Raw genomic sequence first — 24,276 nt, 5'->3', positions numbered from 1 at the left:
AGATACTGCATTTTATTTTCCACATCCAGATACTTACAGGATTGCAGATAGATTGTACTTTCTTTATCCTTAATCTCTGATTTGTCTACTGAACTCTACTCTTTATTCTCAAATGCCATTCAATCTCTACAATGGGCTGGATTCTTTGGGAATATAGGAGAGAAGAAGTAATATCTGTTCCTCTGCCACTGAAAGTTTCATGGCTGAAATCCCTATAACAAAAGACAGGTTAACAAGAGAAAAGTATGATAAATTTATTTAGCCAAAGTTTCACATGACACTACGGCCTTCAGAGATGAAGAGCCAAAGACCCAGGGAAAACTGTATTTTTATGCTTAAGTTTGATGAAGCATGAACAGTTGTGTAGAGGTGTAGTTGGACAGGCCAGGTGCAGTGGCTGATGCTTGTAATCCCAACACTTTGAGAGGCCGAGGTGGGCAGATCACTTGAGGACAGGAATTCGAGACCAGCCTGGCCAATATGGAAAAACCCTGTCTCTACTAAAACTGCAAAAATTACTCTGGTGTGGTGATGCACACTTGTAATTCCAACTACTCGGGAGGCAGGAGAATCCCTTGAACCCAGGAGGCAGAGGTTGCAGTGAGACAAGATCGCATCACTGCCCTCCAACCTGGGCAACAGATTGAGACTCTGTCTCAAAAGAGGCATGGTTAGACAAAAAAGTAGGATCTAATGGTAAAAAATTGGGGGGAACATAGCAAGGTCTTTTTTTTTTTTTTTCAGCTTTTTCTTGGCATCTCTGTGTCTTCATTTCTTTCCTCCAAGTATAAGACAGGGCACCCGTTACATAAAGGTTTTATGACCCACTTTTACTTGCATGGGAGGTAAGTCAGATAATTCTTTCTTTCTTTCTTTCTTTCTTTCTTTCTTTCTTTCTGTCTTTCTTTCTTTCTTTCTTTCTTTCTTTCTTTCTTTCTTTCTGTCTTTCTTTCTTTCTTTAGTTGGGTTAGAAATTTCATTAACAGCACAGGGAATATTTCTTTCTTTCTTTCTTCTTTCTTTCTCTCTCTCTCTTTCCTTCTTTTTTTTTTAAAGAGATGGGTCACTGAGGCTGGAGTGCAATGATAACTCATTGTCTTGAAATCCTGGGCTCAAGTGACTCTCCTGCCTCCTGAGTAGCTAGAATTACAGGTGTGAGCCACTGTGCTTTCTGAGAATTACTTTATGTAATACTATTACACAGAAAGGCAGGCAAGGTAAGAGTGTGACCTCCAGGGTGCTATATGTTGGGGTAGCATGTCCTACATCCCACCATGGAGAGACAAGCACTGATTTAAAATTCTGTAATGGAACTGTTAGACCCATTCCTCTCAGTTCACCTTTTGACTTGACTCAAATAACAAATACTCCTAATGTCCAACTGTTTTGCCTGTGGTAAAGGCTTCCCTTGGGGGAACATTGGAGAAATAAATTATAAAGTTATGTATGAGTACTCAAGGCTTCATAAAATATTAAATCAGCCTAAGAGGTGACCAGTGAGTCAAGCAACTGATATTTACATGCTTTATGTACACTTAAAAAATCTTAGCATAACATTTAATCTTGAGCTAATGGAAAAGGTATTTTGCAATGTCCTCTAAATTATTCCCAGAACCTTGTTTCTTAGTTTATAATACAAGAATGTTTTATTTGTCCACAATTTGGAGAATTTGGTTCATATGGTGCTGGCAAGCCCACCCGTAAAGAAAAAGTACCATACAAATATATGCTTTACAATACCTCAGGCACTGCAATCCACACCTTGAGATTCACCACCACTAAATACTTTTAACACTTAAAGGTTTAAACAAGAACCCTATTAGGGGGTCTACAATTTTTAGAGCAAGTTCTACTAATGAATTCCACATTGTGTAAGCGCACACACACACACACACATACACACACACAGCTCTACACAGTGTGCTGGAAAATACATTGTGGAGGAGAGCCCAGCTGGCAGGAAGTTCTCTTCCTTGTTCTCATCAAATCTTTAAAGTCCGTCCATTCCATTGCTTAACACGTAATTGCTGACCCCTCTTTTCTCTTCCTTAGTTTTATTCTTACTAATGTTCTCGAAGATTAAGAAAAACGAAAATTAAGAAAAAAAAACTCTATTCGTAAAAAGGTAGGAGAGCCTCAATACTTGGTTAGTAATGGATTGTTATCACTGAGCCGATGAAAGGGAAAGAAGAGCGAGGCACTGGAGGTGCATCAGAATGTAGCATGCATCAGGGGGAATTGAAACCTAAGGGGCTGCTTTCTTGAGGAGGGATGGACAAAGAAAATCTGGGAAGTAAAATAGCCAGAGTCAGGGAATGCAGTTTGCTGTGAGGTCAGGGATTCCAGCAACATAATACTCAAAAATGTAGAATTTTGTATTCATGCTACTCAACTTACTTCTTCGCTCCACTACACTCACCTTTTCAGAAGTAATTATTTTTTTTAACTTAACATGACTAAAATTTTCATAGGACATATTGGCAGCTATGCTTTAGACTATAAAAGTGATGTTATAATGGTAATAATGTTACTGAAAAAAATGAAATCAGCACTCTCTCATTTCCATACAATCCCCAGGAAAGCATCACATCAGTGGGGTTAGTTGAAACATGTTTTGTGTTTTGCAAACCAGTGAGCCTTAATTCTTTCCCCAAAAAAAAATTAGTGAGCCAGGTGGAGATGTGATGTGGCAGGGAAACCCTAACCTTCAGCATCCTTACACTTCAAATTTGTTAGCCACAGAAGTTCTTTGTATTTTGTTAATGGATATGTGGCATCTCAGATTCAACAGGTACTTGAGTTCCAGTGATGATGAGGCAGCTAACACAGCGACCTGTGTCTTTCTTTGCAGTTAAATGAGCCCTCTTGTTTCATCAGAGCCTGCCAAAAAGCCTACCCCTCCCTTCTCAGATGCCACTGATTCAAAGTGCCTTTATTCCCCCTATAATCCAATAGGATCTCTCCCTTCTGCACCTCCATCACGCATAGCATTTATTGCATCTGCTTTAGATCCTACTCATGTCTTTGTGTCCTAACTGTCTTTGTAAATTATCTACTCTTTGAGGGCAGGCATCCCAGCTAGTTGATCTTTGTATTACTTTTAGATTTTAATACACAAAGGATTTTTGTGCCAGGCACTATGATATGCCCTTTACTGCATTATCTCAATCCTTAAGACACCATTGATGTCCCCGTCATATGCCTGTGGGCCTGGCTATTGTAATGCTCCCAGGACTCCAGCTGCAGGACCCACACCTCCTTGCCAAAGGTTTACTTCAGAATCCACTCAGCTCAAGGGCATCACAGACTAAAGTGCTGGAGAATTAATGTTTCTTTCCAATGTCTTCTTTTTAACAGCCCTCCATAATTACTGATGGGAATTGGCATATAAATATCCCAGCAACATATTCCCCTTGGTGAGATAGCTCTGAGAAAGTTATTCTGCACAACTCCCAGCTCCCAGAGTTCTCTAGCTCATTAGTTCTCAAATTTGAGTGTGCATCAACATCACCTGCAGGGTTGTTAGACCAGTTTGCTGGGTCCACATGCAGGGCTTCTAATTCAGTGGGTCTGGAGTGGGGCCTGAGAATCTGCATTTATAACTAATGCCAATGTGATGCTGAGGTGAGTCAACCACAAACCACACTTGGAGACTCTGTCTTTGCTCCAGGTATCACAACAATAACTACTTTCTAGGCCATCCTTCCTTGGTTACCTTTCCTCTTTTCACTCCCTAGCTCCCTTTCCAATGTTTCCTGGGATCATCTCAGAAGTAAACTATTTGTACTCAATCCTTATGGTTATTCTCACCATGATATGCATGAGGAGTTTATTGCATACAGGGATTTGGTTACTTGTCTCAGGTTCCACAGCTGGAAAAGCCTAGTTGTTAACCGTCACATGACACTGTCTCTTTGTCATAATGCTTTCCACATAAAGTGCTCTATCAACAGTAATATAATGAAATCAAATGGTGTTGATCAACTATCAACACTGGCTTATGGTGTTTGGAGTCACAAAGGTATCATTAGGAGTAGTTCAAGTTTTAGAATAGAGCTATGCAACTGAAAAAGGGACCAGATTTATTTAAGCAAGTCTCCTAGCACCCGAAGAGTAGGATTGGCTTGGCTCTGTATTGACACCGTGGCCTCCTGGTGAAACTCGAGACTCCTGTTGCACTCTGAAAACTCACATGATAGCCTGGAGAAGATCGAATATCTGAATGCCCCCCCTCTGGAGATAGTTAGGCCCACTGTCTGCTGTCACTGATGCCCTTTGATTCATCATTTTATATTAGCCAAGAGCCCAGATCCATCTCTCTCCAATATATATCATATTTGCCTCAGCTCACCACTCTTAAAGAATTTTGGAGTGTGTGTGTATGTGTGTGGTTTTTTTCTTTTCCTTTTGTAAATGATGCTAATTTTTCCCCACACAGAACAAAGCATATGTCGCAGTTTGTGAGTGGTCTTATGATGCAGTCACACCACTCTTTAAACAGCCTTGTCAAAAATTTAGAGATGACTGAATACTCAAAGCTCAAAAGCAGAGAGGATTCTGGCTTCACAGATCAGTCAATCACGGAGCATTGGGCGCCCAGAGAGAGTTCTGCGTAATAGGAAAATAATATGTAATTGTGTGAACAATTCACTTTATTAGTTTCCTTGGGATTAAGCCTGTACCATCTATAGTCGATTTGACAGCAAAGAAAGGGGAAAAAAGGAAAAACTACATGCAATTTTCATAACTTATTCTGTAATAAAATTGAATTTGAATTGAATTGTATGGTAAGCTAAAAAAATAGAATGAATGTAAGTTTGATTTATTTTTAATTAATTTCAGTGATGGTAAAATGAGCCAGATTTCCAACTAGAGAGTTAGAACAATACCCAGAACAACAGAAAAAGTAGATAAGCAGGAGAGTTTATATCATGTAGAATGTCAGTATCACTTCCACCATTTTTCATAAGTCAATGGTTTGAAGTGCTTATACACAGCCCTTTGGAAAAGCATCATGGAATGTAAGATGTCTCTGTATCAGGCCTGATTTTTAGGTCAGCTTGTACAAAATAAGAATAGCACAGATATTTTGAAGCAACCAGACTTTTTGCCTTTTCAGTGTCTGCTGTCTACAAAATATTACTATTACTACTAAAAACACATCAGCAGTCACTTATATAGTGCTTATTTCCAGGGTCAACTTCATGGGTATAAGTCTCACAGAGCTCTACACTGAGAAAGGAGATCCCTACTGGGCTTTAATATTCTGCAGTTGCCATCTTGAAATTCGTAATAATTGTATCTCTGAATTTGTGTTTTGTAAGTAAAGTCCAATGGGCCAATACAGCATGTGCTGGAAGCTTGAAGTCTTGATTTATGTGCAGCCTACCTCCCAATGTCTCCCTATGTCCCCAGGATATATTCTCAGCCACCTTCTCTCCCACCCCTTGGCAGTACCCTGATGGCCTCCCTCTCCTTCTGCAGCCTAGTGACCACTGCCGCCCTCTGCCCTCAGCAGGGTACTATGTGTAGATACAGGAAAAATTGAGCTTTCATCCCTAAGACAATGAATATGACGAGATATCATGCCCATGATTACGTTAGGTCACGTAGCAAAAAGGATTCTTGTGAGAGGTAATTAAGGTTACTAATCAAATGAACTTGAGTAATCAAAAGGGGTTTCCAAGTGGGCCCAAGCTGATTACCTGAGACTTTTAAAAGCAGTTGAGTTTTGTCCAGCTGAAGCATCAGGAGAAGTCAGAGACATTGAAAGAATAAGGACATGGTGTGTAATTGATGCATTGAAGGTGGTGGGGCCATGAAAGAAGGCATATGAGCAGTCTCTGGGAGAAGAAGGCAGCCTTTGCTTTAGCAGTCAGCAAGGAAATGAAGACCTCAGGCCTACAGCCACAAGGAACTAGATTCTGAAAACAGCCTGGATAATTTGGAAAAGGATTCTTCCGGAACCTCCAGATAAGAACCCAACCTGACTAGCGTCTTAATTTTGATTTTCTGACAGCCCAGTGAAATCAACCAGGGCTTCTGACATATAGAACTGTGAGCTAATAAGTGAGTGTTGTTTTAAGCTGCTAAATTTGTGGTAATTTATCACACAGCAATACAAAACTAATACACCTCCATTCTTCCGAGATTGTCCCTTGGCACTTTTTTTTTTAAATAGAAGGTGGTTATCATATGAAATTAATGGTTGATTTAAGTAGACTCTTTAAAGACAGCTTTTCTGTGTTTACATCTACAAACAGTATTCCTCTACGAAATAATTTATGACAAGGCTGAATAGTTTTATGAGCAATAACATTTATAGTCATGTTAAATAAAGATGCATTAAAATATAAGAACCCTGTAGTGTTCTAAAATATATTCTAAGTTTCACTCATGTAGAGCCCATGTTTTATGTAGGATATTACAAAACTTAAGAGAAATGTTATAATATTCTGCCTCTCTGAGAAAGCCTCAGAGAGAGAGAGAGGGCAATTTGGTGGAGAGCCATCTATCCTGTCAATTTTACCTTTGTTTTTCAATCTTAATCTGGTCATTGTACATTTTTTATGCAAGTGAATTTTCAGAAGGGGGTCTTTAACTTTTGGCTCCTGTGAGAAACAATGTTGATGAATAAATGGGGCCAGAAAGAAGAAAGAATTTGCACTAGACTAAAGGAACCCAATTTGCTATACAGCCAGGATTCAGGCTTGGACAATTCAGAGTTGATTTTGGTCACTAGCTTAACTTCGTGTTCATCGTAACTCAGTTTCTCTGCTCTCTTTCTTTATCAATCTTTCTTCCCTGGCCTTTCACTGTGTGAGACCCTCCAGAGGCTAACTCTAGAAATGCTCAAGGAAAACCTTTCATTTATCCCTCTGATCTCTGCTGGCCACTCATCATCCCAACAGCAGGTGTCCTTCTCTTTGTGGTAGACTGTAACCATCACACCATTAGAAGTGAACATTCAAATTCCTCCTGAAATTCTCCTGAAGCATCCAAGTTGTCCAGAAAAAATAAAATTGAGTCAATGATCCACACCGAATAAATGAAATTTAAGTCAATACCCATATTATTATTTTAAATTTAATCCCTAATAGAGGAACATTGATTTTACTTTTTTAAAAATTTTATGTCACTCAGCTAGGAGACTCTTAAACACAGCTTGCTACCAACAATTATTTATGCTCCTTTTCTGAGCAGCACCTAATAACTGCTAATTAAGTCTTTTGTAGCCTGACTCTGAACTAATTAGGGTTAATTGAGCCTACTTGTGCATTAGATATTCTAGCTCTTGTCCTGATAATCAGGATTTTGGAGCACACTGAATATTTATTCAGTCTGTTAGCTTAGACTTCGCTCCACTGGACATTCTGCTGCAGGTCTTTGTCATCTCTTAATGAGCAAGAGTGTGCTGCTCTCTGCCTGATTTGCACATTGTGTTGTGTGTGTGTGTGTGTGTGTGTGTGAACAGCCAGGGAATGTGATAGAGAAATAAGTCCCAGAAGAGTGGGCAAGCAGTAGGGTTAGTGTCACATTATTTTGAAACTGCCTTTGCAAAATTATGACAGTAAGAGAAATTTGCCATGGCTGACTCCATCTTGCTTCTAGCCTCACAGGCTGGCTGTCCTTGCTCATTCCTGGGCCTGGGCCAAGCTAACTTTGAGAGAAATTTAGTTAATAGTTTAAATAATAGCTCTTCCCCAAACCAAACCACCCTTGTAAAACTAATGAAAGGGCATCAGGTTAGGAGGATGCGATGGGCCTGAATTCTACTTAAGACGTAAGTGCAGTTAAATGATTACTAGCCAGTATTCAGGAGGTCACAAGATTTGCAACTTCCCCAATTACTCCTATAAATAACATTACTATTGTAGAACCTACGATTGATGTTTTGAGATGTCTTTTCAGGCTTTTACATTTCTGATGACTCGATGGCCCCACTCAGACCAGTGACTCCTCTGTGGTCCTTACTCAGAAATGGACTCAGCACATGAGGACCATTTTTCACACCCTTATGATTGCATCCCCAACCAATCAGCAGCACCCATTCCCCTAGTGCCCGGCCCACCAAACTATCTTTGGAAAAAAACTCTAACCTCTGAGCCTTCAGTGAGATTGATTTGTGTAAAATTCTGTCTCCTGGTGGTGTGGCTGACCTTATGTCAATCAAACTCTTTCTTTACTGCAATGTTATGGTCTCAGTGGATTGATTTTGTCTGTGCAGCGGACATGAATAACTCACTGGGCAGTTACAATTTCACTTTTGACTTTTTAATCATTAAAGAGAATCACCAGGCCAGGCATGGTGGCTCATGCCTGTAATCTCAGGATCTGGGGAAGCTGAGGAAGGGAAGATTGCTTGAGTCCAGGAGTTCAAGACCAGCTTGGACAGCACAGTGAAACCTTGTCTCATTAAAAAAAAAAAAAAAAAAAAAAAAAAAAAAAAAAAAAAAAAAAAAAAAAAAACAGAGAGACAGCGAGAAAGAGAAAGAATTACTGAATTACAAAGGAATATTACTTCTTGGAGGATGAGAATAAAGTTTCTGAGGTTCTGTGTTTGTGGTTCACAAATAAGAATTTTTAGTCTTTCTTCCTGGCCCTATTCATTGATTAGATAGTCAAATCAACATATTTTTCCCCAAATATGGTTGTGTGGTATAATGAGAGTTTTATATTAAAAATCCTTAGAGGTCAACAATCTCTAGAGGAGATTTTTCTCCTATGTACATAAAGACAGGACTGACCCCCAAGGAGAACAGTTGTTCTTGTTCCCCTCCCTCTTATGTCATTATCCATTAGCAAAAATATAACCACACCTGAACAGATCCCTTTCCAAGATAATGACTGTCCCCAAGGAGCATTTAAATTCCAGATAGAACTATTAACATGTTAATTTGTTCACAGATCCAATCCTTCTTACTAATCATTTATTGCCTCTCAATAGAATTTCTCTTCTCTCCCTCCCATGACCTGTTTTATCAGGATCCAAGCCCCCATTCTTTCTGTAACCTCAAGATGGTATATAAGCTTCTCTACCTTACTGACTGGGAAGTTGGGTCTTCATTCTAAAGGCTCCCATGTACACACATTAAATAAATTTGGATGCTTTTTTTCTATTAATCAATCTGCCTCATGTCAGTAATTTTTCAGTGAAACTTCAGCCTGTGAACTGATATTGGATTGTGGTGCACCTGGATACATGTTATTATTAATACCATTATTACTATTATTTTAGGCATGATCATGTGGTTCATATTAATAGGCTCTGTGATAGTCAGCTCTGCATTCACCCCATTTCATGCCACTGACCATCCAATCAGTTTTTGAAATTTCCTTAAAAGATTAGATCATTTACATTGTAATCCCTTCAATTGATTAGTCATCTTTACTGTAAAAACAATTCTACATAAAATCAAATTTTTAAATATAATCACTGTAGTTTCTCATGGCTATACTTTTCTTTTTTCTTTTTTCTGAAAGATATTTCCATTTATTTCAGTGGTATATTAGCAGACTGAGATAGTTTTCAAAATAAAGGAAAGGGAAAGAAAGCAGTTTACCTAGAAAATAGATGTATAAAGTACAATTTTTTTTTCTTGTTTTAATTTTACTTTAAGCTCTGGGATACATGTGCAGAACATGCAGGTTTGTTACGTAGGTATACATGTGCCATGGTGGTTTGCTTCACCTATTAACCTGTCATCTAGGTTATAGGCCCTGCATGCATTAGGCATTTTTTCCTAATGCTTTCCCTCCCCTTTACCTCAATCCCTGACAGGCCCTGGTGTGTGTTGTTCCCCTCTCTGTGTCCATGTGTTCTCATTGTTCAATTCCCACATATGAGTGAGAAAATGCAGTGTTTGGTTTTCTGTTCCTGTGTTAATTTGCTGAGGATGATGGTTTCCAGCTCCATTCACCTCCCTGCAAAGGACATGATCTCATTCTTTTTTATGGCTCCATAGTATTCCATGGTATATATGTATCACATTTTCTTTATCTAGTATATCATTGATGGGCATTTGGGTTGGATCCAAGTCTTTGCTATTGTAAATAGTGCTGCAACAAACATATTTGTGCATATGTCTTTAGAGTAGGATGATTTATATTATTTTGGGTATATACCCAGTAATGGGATTGCTGGGTCAAATGTTATTTCTGGTTCTAGATCCTTGGGGAATCACCAGTGTCTTCCACAATGGTTGAACTAATTTAAATTCCCATCAACAGTGTAAAAGTGTTTCTATTTCTCCACAGCCTTGCCCACATCTATTGTTTCCTGACTTTTTAATAACTGCTATTCTGACTGGCGTGAGATAGTATCTCATTGTGCTTTTGATTTGTATTTCTCTAATGATCAGTGATGATCATATCATGTTTTTCCTAGGTTTCTTGGCCACATAAATATCTTTTGAGAAGTGTCTGTTCATATCCTTTGACCGCTTTTTGATGGGGTTGTTTTTTTCTTGTAAATTCGTTTAAGTTCCTTGTAAATTCTGGATATTAGACTTTTGTCAGATGGATAGATTGCAAAATTTTTCTCCCATTCTGTAGGTTGCCTGTTCACTCTGATGCAAGTTTCTTTTGCTGTGCAGAAGCGCTTTAGTTTAATTAGATCCCATTTGTCAATTTTGGCTTTAGTTGCTATTGCTTTCGGTGTTTTTGTCATGAAGTCTTTTCCCATGCCTATGCCTTGAATGGTATCGCCTAGGTTTTCTTCTAGGGTTTTTATGGTTTGTGGTTTTATATTTAAGTCTGTAACCTATCTTGAGTTAATTTTTTGTATAAGGTGTAAGAAAGGGGTCCAGTTTCAGTTTTCTGCATATAGCTACCCAGTTTTTCCATCACCATTTATTAAACAGGGAACCCTTTCTCCATTGCTTGTTTTTGTCAGGTTTGTTGAAGATCAGATGGCTGTAGATGGGTGGTGTTATTTCCGAGGTCTATTCTGTTGCATTGGTCTATATGTGTGTTTTTGTACCAGTACCAGTACCATGCTGTGTCGGTTACTATAGATTTGTAGTAAAGTTTGAAGTCAGGTAATGTGACTTTGTTCTTTTTGCTTAGGATTGTTCTTCTTGCTTAGGATCATTCTTTTTGCTTAGGATTGTCTTGGCTATATGGGCTTTTTTTTGGTTCCATATGAAATTTAAAGTATTTTTTTCTAATTCTGTGAAGAAAGGCAATTGTAGTTTGATGGGAATAGCATTGAATCTATAAATTACTTTGGGCAGTATGGCCATTTTCATGATATTGATTCTTCCTATCCATGAGCATGGAATGTCTTTCCATTTCTTTGTGTCTTGTCTTATTTCCTTGAGCAGTGATTTGTAATTCTCCTTGAAGAGGTCCTTCACATCCCTTGTAAGCTGTATTGCCAGGTATTTTATTCTCTTTGTAGCAATTGTAAATGGGAGTTCATTCATGATTTGGCTCTCCGCTTGTCTATTGTTGGTGTTTAGGAATGTTTGTGATTTTTGCACATTGACTTTGTATCCTGAGACTTTGCTGAAGTTGCTTATCAGCTTAAGAAGTTTTTGGGCTAAAATGATAGGGTTTTCTAAACATAGAATCATGTCATCTGCTAACAGACAATGTGACATCCTCTCTTCCTATTTGAATATCCTTTATTTATTTCTCTTGTCTGATTGCCCTGGCCAGAAGTTCCAATACTATGTTGAATAGGAGTGGTGAGAGAGGGTATTCTTGTCTTGTGCTGGTTTTCAAAGGGAATGGTTCCAGCTTTTGCCCATTCAGTATGATATCGGCTATGAGTTTCTCATAAATAGCTCTTATTATTTTGAGATCTGTTCCATCAATACCTAGTTTATTGAGAGTTTTTAACATGAAGGGATGTTGAATTTTATCAAAGGCCTTTTCTGCATCTATTGAGGTAATAATGTGGTTTTTGTCATTGGTTCTGTTTATGTGATGGATTATGTTTATTGATTTGTGTATGTTGAACCACTCTTGCATCCCAGAGATAAAGTCGACTTAATTTTGGTGGATAAGCTTTTTGATGTGCTGCTGGATTTGTTTTGCCAGTATTTTATTGAGGATTTTCACTTTGATGTTCATCAGGGATATTGGCCTGAAGTTTCCTTTTTTTATTGTGTCTCTGCCAGTTTTTTGTATCAGGGTGATGCTGGCCTCATAAAATGTGTTGAGGAGGAGTCCCTCCTTTTCAATTGCTTGGAATAGTTTTTTAAAAATGGTACCAGCTCCTTTTTGTGCCTCTTGTAGAATTTGGCTGTGCGTCTGTCTAGTCCTGGGCTGATTTTGGTTGGCAGGCTGTTAATTATTATCTCATTTTCAGAACTTGTTATTGGTCTAGTCAGGTATTCAACTTCTTCCTGGTTTAGTCTTAGGAGAGTGTATGTGTCTAGGAATTGTTTTAGATTTTCTAGTTCATTTGCGTAGAGGTGTTTATAGTATTCTCTGATGGCAGTTTGTATTTCTGTGGGATCAGTGGAGAAAAACCCTTTATCATTTTTTATTGTGTCTATTCGATTCTTCTCTCTTTTCTTCTTTCTTAGCCTATCTAGTGGTATATCTATTTTGTTAATTTTTTCAAAAGAACATCTCCTGGATTCATTGATATTTTGAAGGGTTTTTCATGTCTCTATCTTCTTCAGTTCTGCTCTCATCTTAGTTATTTCTTGTCTTCTGCTAGCTTTTGAATTTTTTTGGTCTTGCTTCTCTACTTCTTTTAATTGTGATTTTAGGGTGTCGATTTTAAATCTTTAAGTTTTCTGATACAGGCATTTAGTGCTATAAATTTCCCTGTTAATACTGCTTTAGCTATGTTCCAGAGATTCTGGTATGTTGTCTCTTTGTTCTCATTGGTTTCAAATAGCTTATTTCTGCATTAATTTTGGTATTCACCCACGAGTCATTCAGGAGCAGGTTGTTCAATTTCCACGTAGTTGTGCTTTTTTGAGTGAATTTCTTAATTCTGAGCTCTAATTTGATTGCACTGTGCTCTGAGAGACTTTTTGTTATGATTGCAGCTCTTTTGCATTTGCTGAGGAGTGTTTTACTTCCAATTATGTGGTCGATTTCAGAATAAGTGCCATCTGGTACTGAGAAGAATGTATACTCTGCTAATTTGAGGTGAAAAGTTCTGTAGATGTCTACTAGGTCCACTTGATCCAGAGCTAAGTTCATGTCCTGAATATCCTTGTTAGTTTTCTGTCTCATCTATCTGTCTAATATTGACAGTGTGGTATTAAAGTCTCCCACTATTATTGTGTGGGAGTCTAAGTCTCTTTGTAGGTCTGTAAGAACCTGTTTTATGAATCTAAGTGCTCCTGTATTGGGTGCATATATATTTAGGATAGTTAGCTCTTCTTGTTGCATTGAACCCTTTACCATCATGTAATGCCCTTCTTTGTCTTTTTTGATCTTTGTTGGTTAAAAGTCTGTTTTTTCAGAGACTAGGATTGCCACTTCTGCTTTTTTCTGCTTTCCATTTGCTTGGTAAATATTCCTCCATCCCTTATTTTGAGCCTATGTTTGTCTTTGCATATAAGATTGGTCTCCTGAATACAGCACACCAATGGGTCTTGACTGTTTATCCAATTTGCCAGTCTTTCTCTTTTAATTGGGTCATTTAGTCCATTTACATTTAAGATTAATACTGTTATGTATGAATCTGATTCTGCCATCATGATGATAGTTGGTTATTTTGCACACTAGTTGACGTAGTTTCTTCATAGTGTCATCAGTCTTTTTTTTTTTTTTTTTTTTTGAGAGGGAGTTTTGCTCTTGTTGCACAGGCTTGAGTGCAATGGCACAATCTCAGCTCACTACAACCTCTGCCTCTCAGGTTCAAGCAATTCTCCTGCCTCGGCCTCCCAAGTAGCTGGGATTACAGTTGCCTGCCTCCATGCCCAGATAACTTTTGCATTTTTAGTAGAGACGGGGTTTCACCATGTTGTCCAGGCTTGTCTTGATGGTCGTTATGTTTTGGTGTGTTTTTGCAGTGGCTGGTACCAGTTTTTCCTTTCCATATTTAGTGCTTCCTTCAGGAGCTCTTGTAAGTCAGGCCTGGTGGTGATTAAATCCTTTAGCATTTGCTTGTCTGGAAATGATTTTATTTCTCCTTCTCTTATGAAGCTTAGTTTGGCTGGATATGAAATTCTGGTCAAAAATTGTTTTCTTTAAAAATGTTGAATATTGGCCCCCACTCTCTTCTGGTTTGTAGGGTTTCTCTGGAAAGATCCACTGTTAGTCTGATGGGCTTCCTTTTTAGGTGACCTGACCTTTCTCTCTGGCTACCTTTAACATTTTTTCTTTCATTTTGACCTTGGAGAATCTGATGATTATGTGTCTTGGGGTTGATCTTCTTGTAGGGTATCTTAGTGGTGTTCTCTGTATCTCCTGAATGTGAATGTTGGCCTGTCTTCCTAGGTTGGGGAAGTTCTCATGGATAATATCCTGAAGTGTGTTTTCCAGCTTGGTTCCATTCTCCCCGTCACTTTCAGGTATAACAATCAATCACAGGTTTGGTCTTTTCACATAGTCCCATATATCTTGTAGGCTACATTCATTGTTTTGCATTCTTTTTCCTCTAATCTTGTCTGTATGCCTTATTCCAGCAAGGTGGTCTTCAATCTCTGATATCCTTTCTTCTGCTTGATTGATTCAGCTATTGATACTTGGGTGTGTTTCATGAAGTTCTTGTGCTGTGTTTTTCAGCTCCATCAGGTCATTTATATTCCTCTCTAAATGGGTTATTCTAGTTAGCAGTGCCTGTAGCCTTTTATCCAGGTTCTTAGCTTCCTTGTATTGGGTTAGAATATGCTTCTTTAGCTCAGATGAGTTTTTTATTACCCACCTTCTGAAGCCTAATTCTATCAATTCATCAATCTCATCCTCTGTCCAAATTTGTGCCCTTGCTGGAGAGGTGTTGCAATCATTTGGAGAACAAGAGGCATCAGGCTTTGGGAATTTTCAGCGTTTTTGCACTGTTGTTTCCTCATCTTCATGGATTTATCTACCTTTGATCTTTGAGGCTGATGACCTTTGGATGGGGTTTTTGCGGGGGGTCTTTTTTGTTGTTGTTGTTGCTTTCTGTTTGTTAGTTTTTCTTCTAACAGTCAGGGCCCTCTTCTGCAAGTCTGTTGCAGTTTGCTGGAGGTCCACTCTAGACCCTGTTCACCAGGGTATCACCAGTGAAGGCTGCAGAACAGCAAAGATTGCTATGGGTATACTTTTCAAGGTAGTTGAACAAGAACTAAAAATTTATTTTTAATTTCCATTAACAATAAACAACATTCCTAATCCCAACAAGATAACTGGCTGCCCAAAAGTTTCTTCATGTGTATTATCTGATGAGCCAGAATTTAGAACAAATAATCTGGCCATGGCACAGATTAAAATGGTGTTTCTCTGATGGACTTCTGATAGGGAGGTAGGGAGGCCATCATGGAAGCAAAGACCCCTATTTGTTTATCTCTTGTCATTAGTCTAATACATACTTCACAAGTGTGTGTTGACTCACGAGGACTGAATGAAGTAGTGACTGAGTGTGTCTTAATGACATGGCAAATAATTTTTTTTTTTTTTGAGGCAGAGTCTCATTCTGTCACCCAGGTTGGAGTGGAGTGGTGCAATCTCGGCTCACTGCAACCTCCACCTCCTGGGTTCAAGTGATTCTCCTTCCTCAGCCTCCCAAGTAGCTGGGACTACAGGCATGCACCACCACATCCAGCTAATTTTTTTGTATTTTTAGTAGAGACTGGGTTTCTCCGTGTTGGTCAGGCTGGTCTCAAACTCCTGACCTCAAATGACCCTCCCAGCTCAGCCTCCCAAAGTGCTGGGATTACAGGAGTGAGCCACTGTGCCCAGCCAGTTATTTTCTCTATCTTATGTATCTGTGTGATCTAGGTGTTTACATTATGCAATTCCTTAATGTCTATACTTCTGTCAGATTAGCAATTGAAAATTTACTGAGCCAGGCTCGTTCTGTCTGTTGTGAAGTGTGCCAATTACTGAGAAGATGAGTTTTGTACAGAGAAAGGGTTATTTACAAGGCAGCCAAGCAAGGAGATAGGAGAAAAGATCTCAAATCAACCTCCCTGAAGATGGAGTTTTAGGGATATTTATGGGATACAGAAGCAAGGTGGTCCAAGGCATAGTGAAAGGTGTTTGGGGGTAAGGAAAAATGAGTCAATTGGTGATCTGCACAAGCACAGTCAAGTTTCATGGCTCTCCATGGGATGCATGTTCACAAAATGGCATCATTAGCATGATCTAAGGGTGGAGATTTTTGCCCTCTGACATCAAAGGGTCACCCATCAGAGATTAATGCAGGCCAGTCAAAAGGTCTCAGCCAGCTCGAGCTAAACAAAAATGGACTCTAAGTTCCCACAAAACAACTTAAGCAACTGTTACTGTGGTGACCTATACACCAGAGATATTACCTATAAGGAAGCCAGTGCAAGGTTAGTTATATATTGCTTAGCTTCATGACTTTTAGGTCTATGGGTTTTAAAATAAACTAAAAGCAAGTGACTAAAAAACAAGGGAGAAAAGTTAACATTGGCGGGCCCAATCAGGTTAGCCCTCAGTTTTAAAAAGACCTATGATTTTTCATTTTGACCCCTCCTTTTTCAAATCATGAAACTGAGAATGATAGAGGCCAAGTAATGGACTCAAGGTCACTCACGATTAAATAGAAGCAAAGCTGAAATCCATACTCGGGGTAAAGGTGGCTCCCTGCAGATGGGTTTCATTGTGAATGAGATTCTGAGTGCTGATGTCATCTGTGCATGGTCATGGGAAGAAGCTCCGTCATCCTCAGGAATGAGACCAAGCCAGTTACAAAGAACTGATTCCAAGCCTCCAAGTCTGAACTAATGTCCACAGAGCACCTCGTTTCAGCTGTCCATTAAACAGCAATCTACAGGCGAACATTTCCTTTTTTTTACTTTATGAAATTTATATAAATATGATTCAGAGAAAAATCTTTGTTACAAAGCTTTTACTTTAGAATAGAAAGTTCCCTTTAATGTCTTATCTAAATAATATAACTACTTATCTATATATAGCATAGGGGCCAAGGGAAAACTTCCCCTTCACCACTGATGGTTTGCTGAAAAATCAACACACAAAAGGCAGATTAATAGGAGAAATGGCACACAAATTTGTTAGTGTGCATGGGGCAGAGTGATAGTGCCACCACACTATGGGTATAGATGATTATATAACCCATTTCTCAGGGAAAGGGAAATGGAAAATTTGAATGATTTTAGGAGATAGTAAATAATTTTTAGGGAAATTCAACAGGCTTGAAGAACATACAATGACCTGGGGCAAAGCCTGTTGGACTCAAACAGCAGACAATGGCTTGTGACAAAAGTCTGTCCAGGTGTGTTGACAGACCTCAGTCTTTCTTCCTGCAATATTGTCAGAGGCATTTGAACCACAGCAACTCCATCTTGAATATGAGCTGAGTAAAATGAGGCTGAAACCTACTGGGCTGCATTCTCAGACGGTTAATGCATTATAAGTCACAGGGTGAGATAGGAGGTCAGCACAAGATACAGGTCATAAAGACCTTGCTGAAAGAAGCCTGCTAACACCCACCAAAACCAAGATGTCCACAAGAGTGACCTCTGGTCGTCCTCACTGCTATACTCCCACCAGCACCATGATGGTTCACAAGTGAGTGCCATGGCAATGTCAGGAAGTTACCCTATATGGTCTAAAGGGGGAAGGCATGAATAATCCACCCCATGTTTATCATATCATCAACAAATAACCGTAAAAATGGACAACCAGGCCAGGCACGGTGGCTCAGGCTTGTAATCCCAGCACTTTGGGAGGGCCAGATGGGCAGATCCCGAGGTCAGAAGATAGAGACCATCCTGGCTAAGGTGATGAAACCCCATCTCTACTAAAAAAATATTAAAAAATTAGCCTGGCCTGGTGGCAGGTGCCTGTAGTCCCAGCTGCTCGGGAGGCTGAGGCAGGACAATGGCGTGAACCCGGGAGGCAGAGCTTGCAGTGAGCTGAGATAACGCCACTGCACTCCAGCCTGGGTGACAGAGTGAGACTCTGTCTCAAGAAAAAAAAAAAAAAAAAGGACAACTAGGAGCCCTTGGGGCTGCTCTGTCTACGGAATAGCCATTCTTTATTCCTTTACTTTCTTAATAAACTTGCTTTCCCTTTAAGGACTCACCCTGAATTCCTTCTTGCATGAGATCCAAGAACCCTCCCTTGGGGTCTGGATCAGTACCCCCCTTCCTGTAACAGTATGAATTCAGTTAATGAACACACAGGAAAGGGGCCAAAGGTAATTGTTTTCTTCTTTGGCAGGTCTGACCTTTAGGCAGATAAGGGAACTTTGGAGAACAACTGCATCTGGTGGATTGGAAGACACGGAGGATTGAGAGACAGGAGGGGTAGGGAAGGCCAAAGAGATACTAAGATTTCTTCAGTTCAAAGCACCATATTTTGGGATATCCATTTCTGAGCCCCAACAACAGATGTGCCCATACATGTAAACATTCAAAAAAAGCTATGTATAAATGGGAGTATATACCTTCATAACAAAGGCTATGGATATTTTTGGATCACTTTCAATAGACTTTACAATCCATCAATAAAATTAATACATTGCCACTGAACTCACAAAAACTTTGTGTCAATGGTTTTACACCAATGAGTCTTTTACATGACTTTAAAAAATATTGCCAACCATTGGCTGTGTATTGAAATAATATCTAATTACTGCTGTAGGTAGGGAAAATAATAGAATCTATAATTGTAGCAGAAAAACTGCAGTTTAAAGCATGCATGTGGCTGCTGAGATTTATGATTATACTAATCAAGTTAATGTCAGGGTTTATTTCATAATGTGAATTTTATGATTCAGGAAAACAACTATGATGGCTGAGAACAAGTTAAATGGATTTTTGTCCGAAGTATTGTTCCAGAGAATGATGTGAACACATATTGCAGTGTTTCCCAGGGAATTCTTTCATTTCTTTTCCTCACAGCTCTCTGCATTCTAGTATGATTAATATTACAGGCAAGTCTTGATTTTACTCATTTGATTACTATTACATGCAATTCTTGAGGGAAAGGAGCAGGGAGAGTACCGATGATTAAAATTAATCATATTATTCAAAGATTCATTACTAGTTTTTGTTTTACCTATACAAAACCATTTCTTGATTGTACCTAGATTTAATTTATAGAAATGACTAAATGATGACACACAAAGTTTTGTTACTCATAGTTCCCAAGAGAAGGGGACACAGGGCCACATAGAGAAGTAGCCTGTTCATTCAGGAAGCAGAAGGAAGGAAGAAGGGAAAAGCATGGCTCAGAGCCTTCACTGTGATTTCCCTGGGAAGAAATGGGTGAGACAAAGTGGGCAAGTTTGATCAAGTTTAGGATTAGATAGTTGGAATAATTTCAGCAGGCTCTGGGCTACAGGGGTGGTCTCTAGTTGTTTAGTACCTGACCCTGGGATAATTTAGGGCAGGACAAATATTGGCTTGGTGTCTGAGAGTTACATAAAGGAGGAGGTTGGAGATAGGAGCTTTGGATTCTTGGTTTGCAAATAAAAGGCATGTTCACAGGGTAGGTGGGCTGCGGCGGGGGAGCACATTTGCTATCTCTGGGAATTAGATAACTTTTGGAGGGACAGTCTCTCCCAAGCCAGAGAGGCCCCGAAGATGTCAAAGCTTCATAAAATATGAAATAGAAATAACACGATTAACATAATCATCCTGTAAGTTTCCTCTATTATTCTTGGTCTGTGCAGCTTCAAAAGAAAAGATCGGTTAAAGAAGGGATGAAGCTGAAATAAAGGAAAACTGGAGGGTCTTATTTGGTGTCACACAAAAAAGTTATTTCCATATCCGACCATGTGGTAAATGTGTTTCCCATCATTAAAATAAAATATTAGGAAATGAATTGCGTGTGTAACAAACATCATACAGATACATACGCATGTGTGTGTTTGTGTGTGTATTACTATTTGTTTGTACTTAAACTTGTTGTGAGTTTACACTCAAACTACTATTTAGGAATATGTCTTTCTTCTATATGTTAAAGCAAACTAAATATGGCCTGAGAAGGACTCCGTAATTCTATATTTGAGTCCTTGTGAATGAACTGCAACCTAACTTAATAGGCAGACAAGATTGTAAACCTAACTTAGGAGTATGCATCTGTAACAATAGCTGAGTCTTGGCCAATGCCGGCAACCATACTTCAACCACTCATTCACTGCTGAGTGTTCAAACTGTATTCAAATAAGGCAAAAACTGAGCTGTAACCTATCCAGCTATTTCTGTAACTCAATTCCTATTTCTGTATGTCACTTTCCTTTTTTTGTCTATAAATTTGTTCTGACCACAAGGCACCCCTGGAGTCTGTCTGAATCTGCTGTGATTCTGGGGGCTGCTCAATTCGCAAATCGTTCATTGCTCAATTAAACTGCTTTAAATTTAATTTGGCTCAAATTTTACTTTCATCATATACAATGTTCTTTTTCCCTTCAGAAACAGTATCTCTGCTCTCTCTCTTTCTCTCTCTCTCTCTCACTGTCTCTGTCTCACACACACACACAGAGCAAGAATTGAAACTTTTTAAATCTAAATTAGCCCTATATTTAATAACTGAAGGTAGCCATGAATTAACTAGATTATTTTTCTGAGACCTTGGACTCTTTACTTTTGAGGGACTGAATTTAAATCTCAATATTTATCTAAATATCTATTTTATTTTTCTTTTCTAGCTATTTTCTTTTCTTTCTCCTTTCTTCCCTACCTTTTCCCTGTCTTTCTTCTTTTGTTTTCTATTATTTTCTTTGAAGACACATTTCTATTATTTTTTGAACACTCAATAATTTATTGAGTTCAAATTATTCATTAAACTGGCTAATTATTAGTGATACAAGGATGAAAAGGCATCATTAAAATCTTCAAAGAGCTCAGATACTGGTGGAAAAACACTGTGCTGAAAAATGAATATTTACTGGACATTCTAGGGGCTATGCTAAGAAGAAAGTGGAAAGGAGGTAACAGAGCAGGGAGATTGAAGTTTGTTGAAAGAGTCAAGGAGTTATTCACAGAGGAAGAAATTTCAGCCAAGAACGAGCAAGCATTTGAAAAGTAGACAAAGGAAGCAAGGAAATTCCGGGAACAGTAAGAATATGTGGCCAGAGGTGAAGGGAAATCTAGCGTCTTTAAGGAGCTCTAAGTAGTTGAAACTGACTGAAGTTTAGGGATTATGGGAAGCAGAAAATATAAGTAAAATATAAGGCAAGGTTCATATCATGAAAGACTTTTTATGCCATGCTATAGAGTGTAGATTTCATCCACTCCATTCAACAAATATTGAGAACCTACTCTCAGATACCATTTGGAACATTGAGAAAAGGCAGCAAAGAAGACATCCCAAGTCCACTTACATTCTATTAAACATATAAACAAATGTGGGCTGGGTACAGTGCCTCACATCTGTAATCCCAGCCCTTCGGGAGGCCGAGATAGGAGGACTGTTTGAGCCCAGGAGTTCGAGACCAGGTTGGGCAATACAGGGAGGCCCCATAGCTAAAAAAATAAAAAATTATCTGGGTGTGGTAGTGTGCTGTGGTCCCAGCTCCTTGGGAGGATTAGGTGGGGGAATTGCTTGAGCCTGGGAGGTTGAGGCTGCAGTAAACCTTGATCACACCACTGCACTACAGCCTGGGAGACAGGGTGAGTCCCTGTGTCTAAAAAAATAAAGTTAAAAAATTAAAAAATGTATAAAGTGTGTCAGCTGGTGATACAAGTAAGGGCTTGGGCTCTGATATGAGTGCAATTTAAAATAGGATCATCAAGAAGCTCTCCATAGGACACATCATTTAAACAAGGGTCTACTTGGCTGTGAGAAAGGACATTGGAACAAACCTGAAGGAAATGTAAAATTAAATAACTCAAACTTAAAGCCATTGAAATTTTAAATTTTTCTGAGCCTTGAAAGGAATCTAGCTATATGGACTGAGTGACGGGGCACATAGCTGAAGCTTTTGCCTTCTTGCCTTTTTTTAAAATTATTATTATTCTATAAGTAATTAGGAAGAACAAACAGCAAGAGAGATAAGACCCACTCAGATCATTATCACTCCTCATAGAGTAATAAAGTAACCTTCCTTGGAATGTAGCAATCTGTAACAAATCAAATTGCTATAATGTATGCATCCGTCTTCTATGGAAAATGCAACCCTGCTGAAACTGCTCTGTCTCTCCCCTTTGTAAATAAAATCTTAACTTCCCTACTTTGAAGCACTGACCCCATTTGTTTGGAGTCAGTGTTTCCTGGGTGGCTACCCTCAAGCTTTTCACTCAAATACATTCTATACTTAATCATATTTTCTGAATCTCATTATTTAAGGTTGACAGAAGGAAGACAGAAAGCCATGGAAATGTTCTAGGCAAAGGCAGAGATGAACTTGAGACAACTAGGAAAGACCATAGGCATAGGCTGTGTGAATGAGGGGTAGATTTGTAGGAGAAAAGGTCAGAGAGATGGGCAGGGTCCTACCTATGTAATTACACAAATGAGAATGTAACCACCCAAGGGTTTCACCTAGACCGCTGCCTAGACAGAGCACTTCATTGACAGGAATTGCAATAGAGAAAGAGTAATTCATGCAGAGCTGGCTGTGCAGGAGTTATAGGGAGTTGAAGATGTCTTCTTGCACTGAGTCAGTTCCTGGGTGGGGGCCACAGGATCACATGAGCCAGTTTATTAATCTGGGTGGTGCCAGCTGATCCATCAAGTGCAGGGTCTGCAAAATATCTCAAGCACTGATCTTAGAAGCAGTTTAGGGAAGGTGAGAATCTTGTAGCCTCCAGCTGCATGACTCCTAAGTTTTAATCTTGTGGCTAATGTTAGTCCTACAAAGGCAGTCTAGTCCCCAGGCAAGAAGAAGGTCTGCTTTGGGAAAGGGCTGCTATTGTCTTTGTTTAAACTATAAACTAGGTTTCTCCCAAAGTTAGTTCAGCCTGTGCCCAGGAATGAACAAGGGCACCTTGGAGGTTAGAAGCAAGATGGAGTCGGTTAAATTAGCTCTCTTTCACTGTCTCAGTCATAATTTTGCAAAGGCGGTTTCAAGAAGGGGAATAGAATTTCATTCTGTGATGGAACGCTTTTGAGAGTAAGAGAGTAACAAGAAACATGAGAAGGTTTATATTTTACAAAAAAGATGACTGGTGTATTATATCTTAATTAGATAATGGTTTCACAAATATATTCATTTGTCAAAACACATCAACACACACACAGTATCTGTATGTAAATTATGCCTCAAAATATTTTTAAAAGCTAATTGTCCATGCTCTATGGAGATTCATGTATGGCCAGGTAGTGAAAGTAGTAGTTGTTGGACAGCCAGTTTTTTATCTTCTTAAAATCAGTTGAGTGTCATTGAAAAACTGGCAAAAAAAAAAAAAAAAAAAAAAAAAACAGGATCAGATTTATATTTCTGAAAAATAAGTTGAACAATAAGACTGCAGAATGAATTAGAGAACCTGAGAACAAAAAACCTGATTACACCACTGCCATTACTAGGTAGGGAATGATGAAGACCAGGGATAACATAAACAAAGAAGTGAGAATAAGTGAAAGAGGCATTCAGAAGACAGAACTGACATGATTTGGCCAATTGGATAAAAAAGGGAAGAGGGATAAGAGTCGAAGGGGAATGATTATCCAATTTGTGGCTTTGGACATTGGGGAAACTGTGACGTATTCATGGAGATAGAAGATATAAATCAGGAAATTATTTGTGGGATGCAGTTCTATTTGCAACATGTTGAGTTTGAGATGTTTAGGTAACATGCGACCATCAATGGCCAGTATGCAGCCATCAAAACAGGTTTGAGTGCTGACAGTCACATGATCTGTAAATAAAAGTTTATGAGTTGCTAATAAATGACCATTGGTTAAAACTATGCATGTGAATATAAATGCCCTCAGAGAGTCTTGACTCACAGCCTACAGTCTTCAAAATTTCAACACTATTATTTAGTATGAAAGAATGACTTTACCTCTCCATATCCCATATAATTTAATCAAGGCTTTACTGTGCATTCTATGTGCTCAGTGGTAAGCTAGACACTACGATTAGCAAAATTTGTGTAATTTACATGGAATTTCTCTCTTAATGGAAGACAGATACAGAAAATAGTTAACCAGAATTATCATACCTTTAAAAATCTATTAAGTCTTAACCATATTTTATAGAGGAATTACCATTTATTGTATGCC

The 24,276-nt window shown here is 38.8% G+C and overlaps 1 long non-coding RNA gene across 1 annotated transcript in view; it reads right to left on the bottom strand.

Moving 5' to 3' along the window:
- LOC105379371 (uncharacterized) overlaps positions 1-24,276 on the bottom strand; it is a 73,309-nt gene that overhangs the window by 28,854 nt on the left and 20,179 nt on the right. The window contains exon 2 of the long non-coding RNA XR_949668.2: positions 38-212. This is a non-coding gene — a long non-coding RNA (uncharacterized LOC105379371). The remainder of the gene's footprint in view (positions 1-37; positions 213-24,276) is intronic.

This window comes from Homo sapiens, chromosome 8 (genome assembly GCF_000001405.40).
Source record: "Homo sapiens chromosome 8, GRCh38.p14 Primary Assembly".
NCBI lineage: Eukaryota > Metazoa > Chordata > Mammalia > Primates > Hominidae > Homo > Homo sapiens.
The sequence above is the reverse complement of the archived record's forward strand: the minus strand, read 5'-3'. Positions and strand labels throughout refer to the sequence as shown.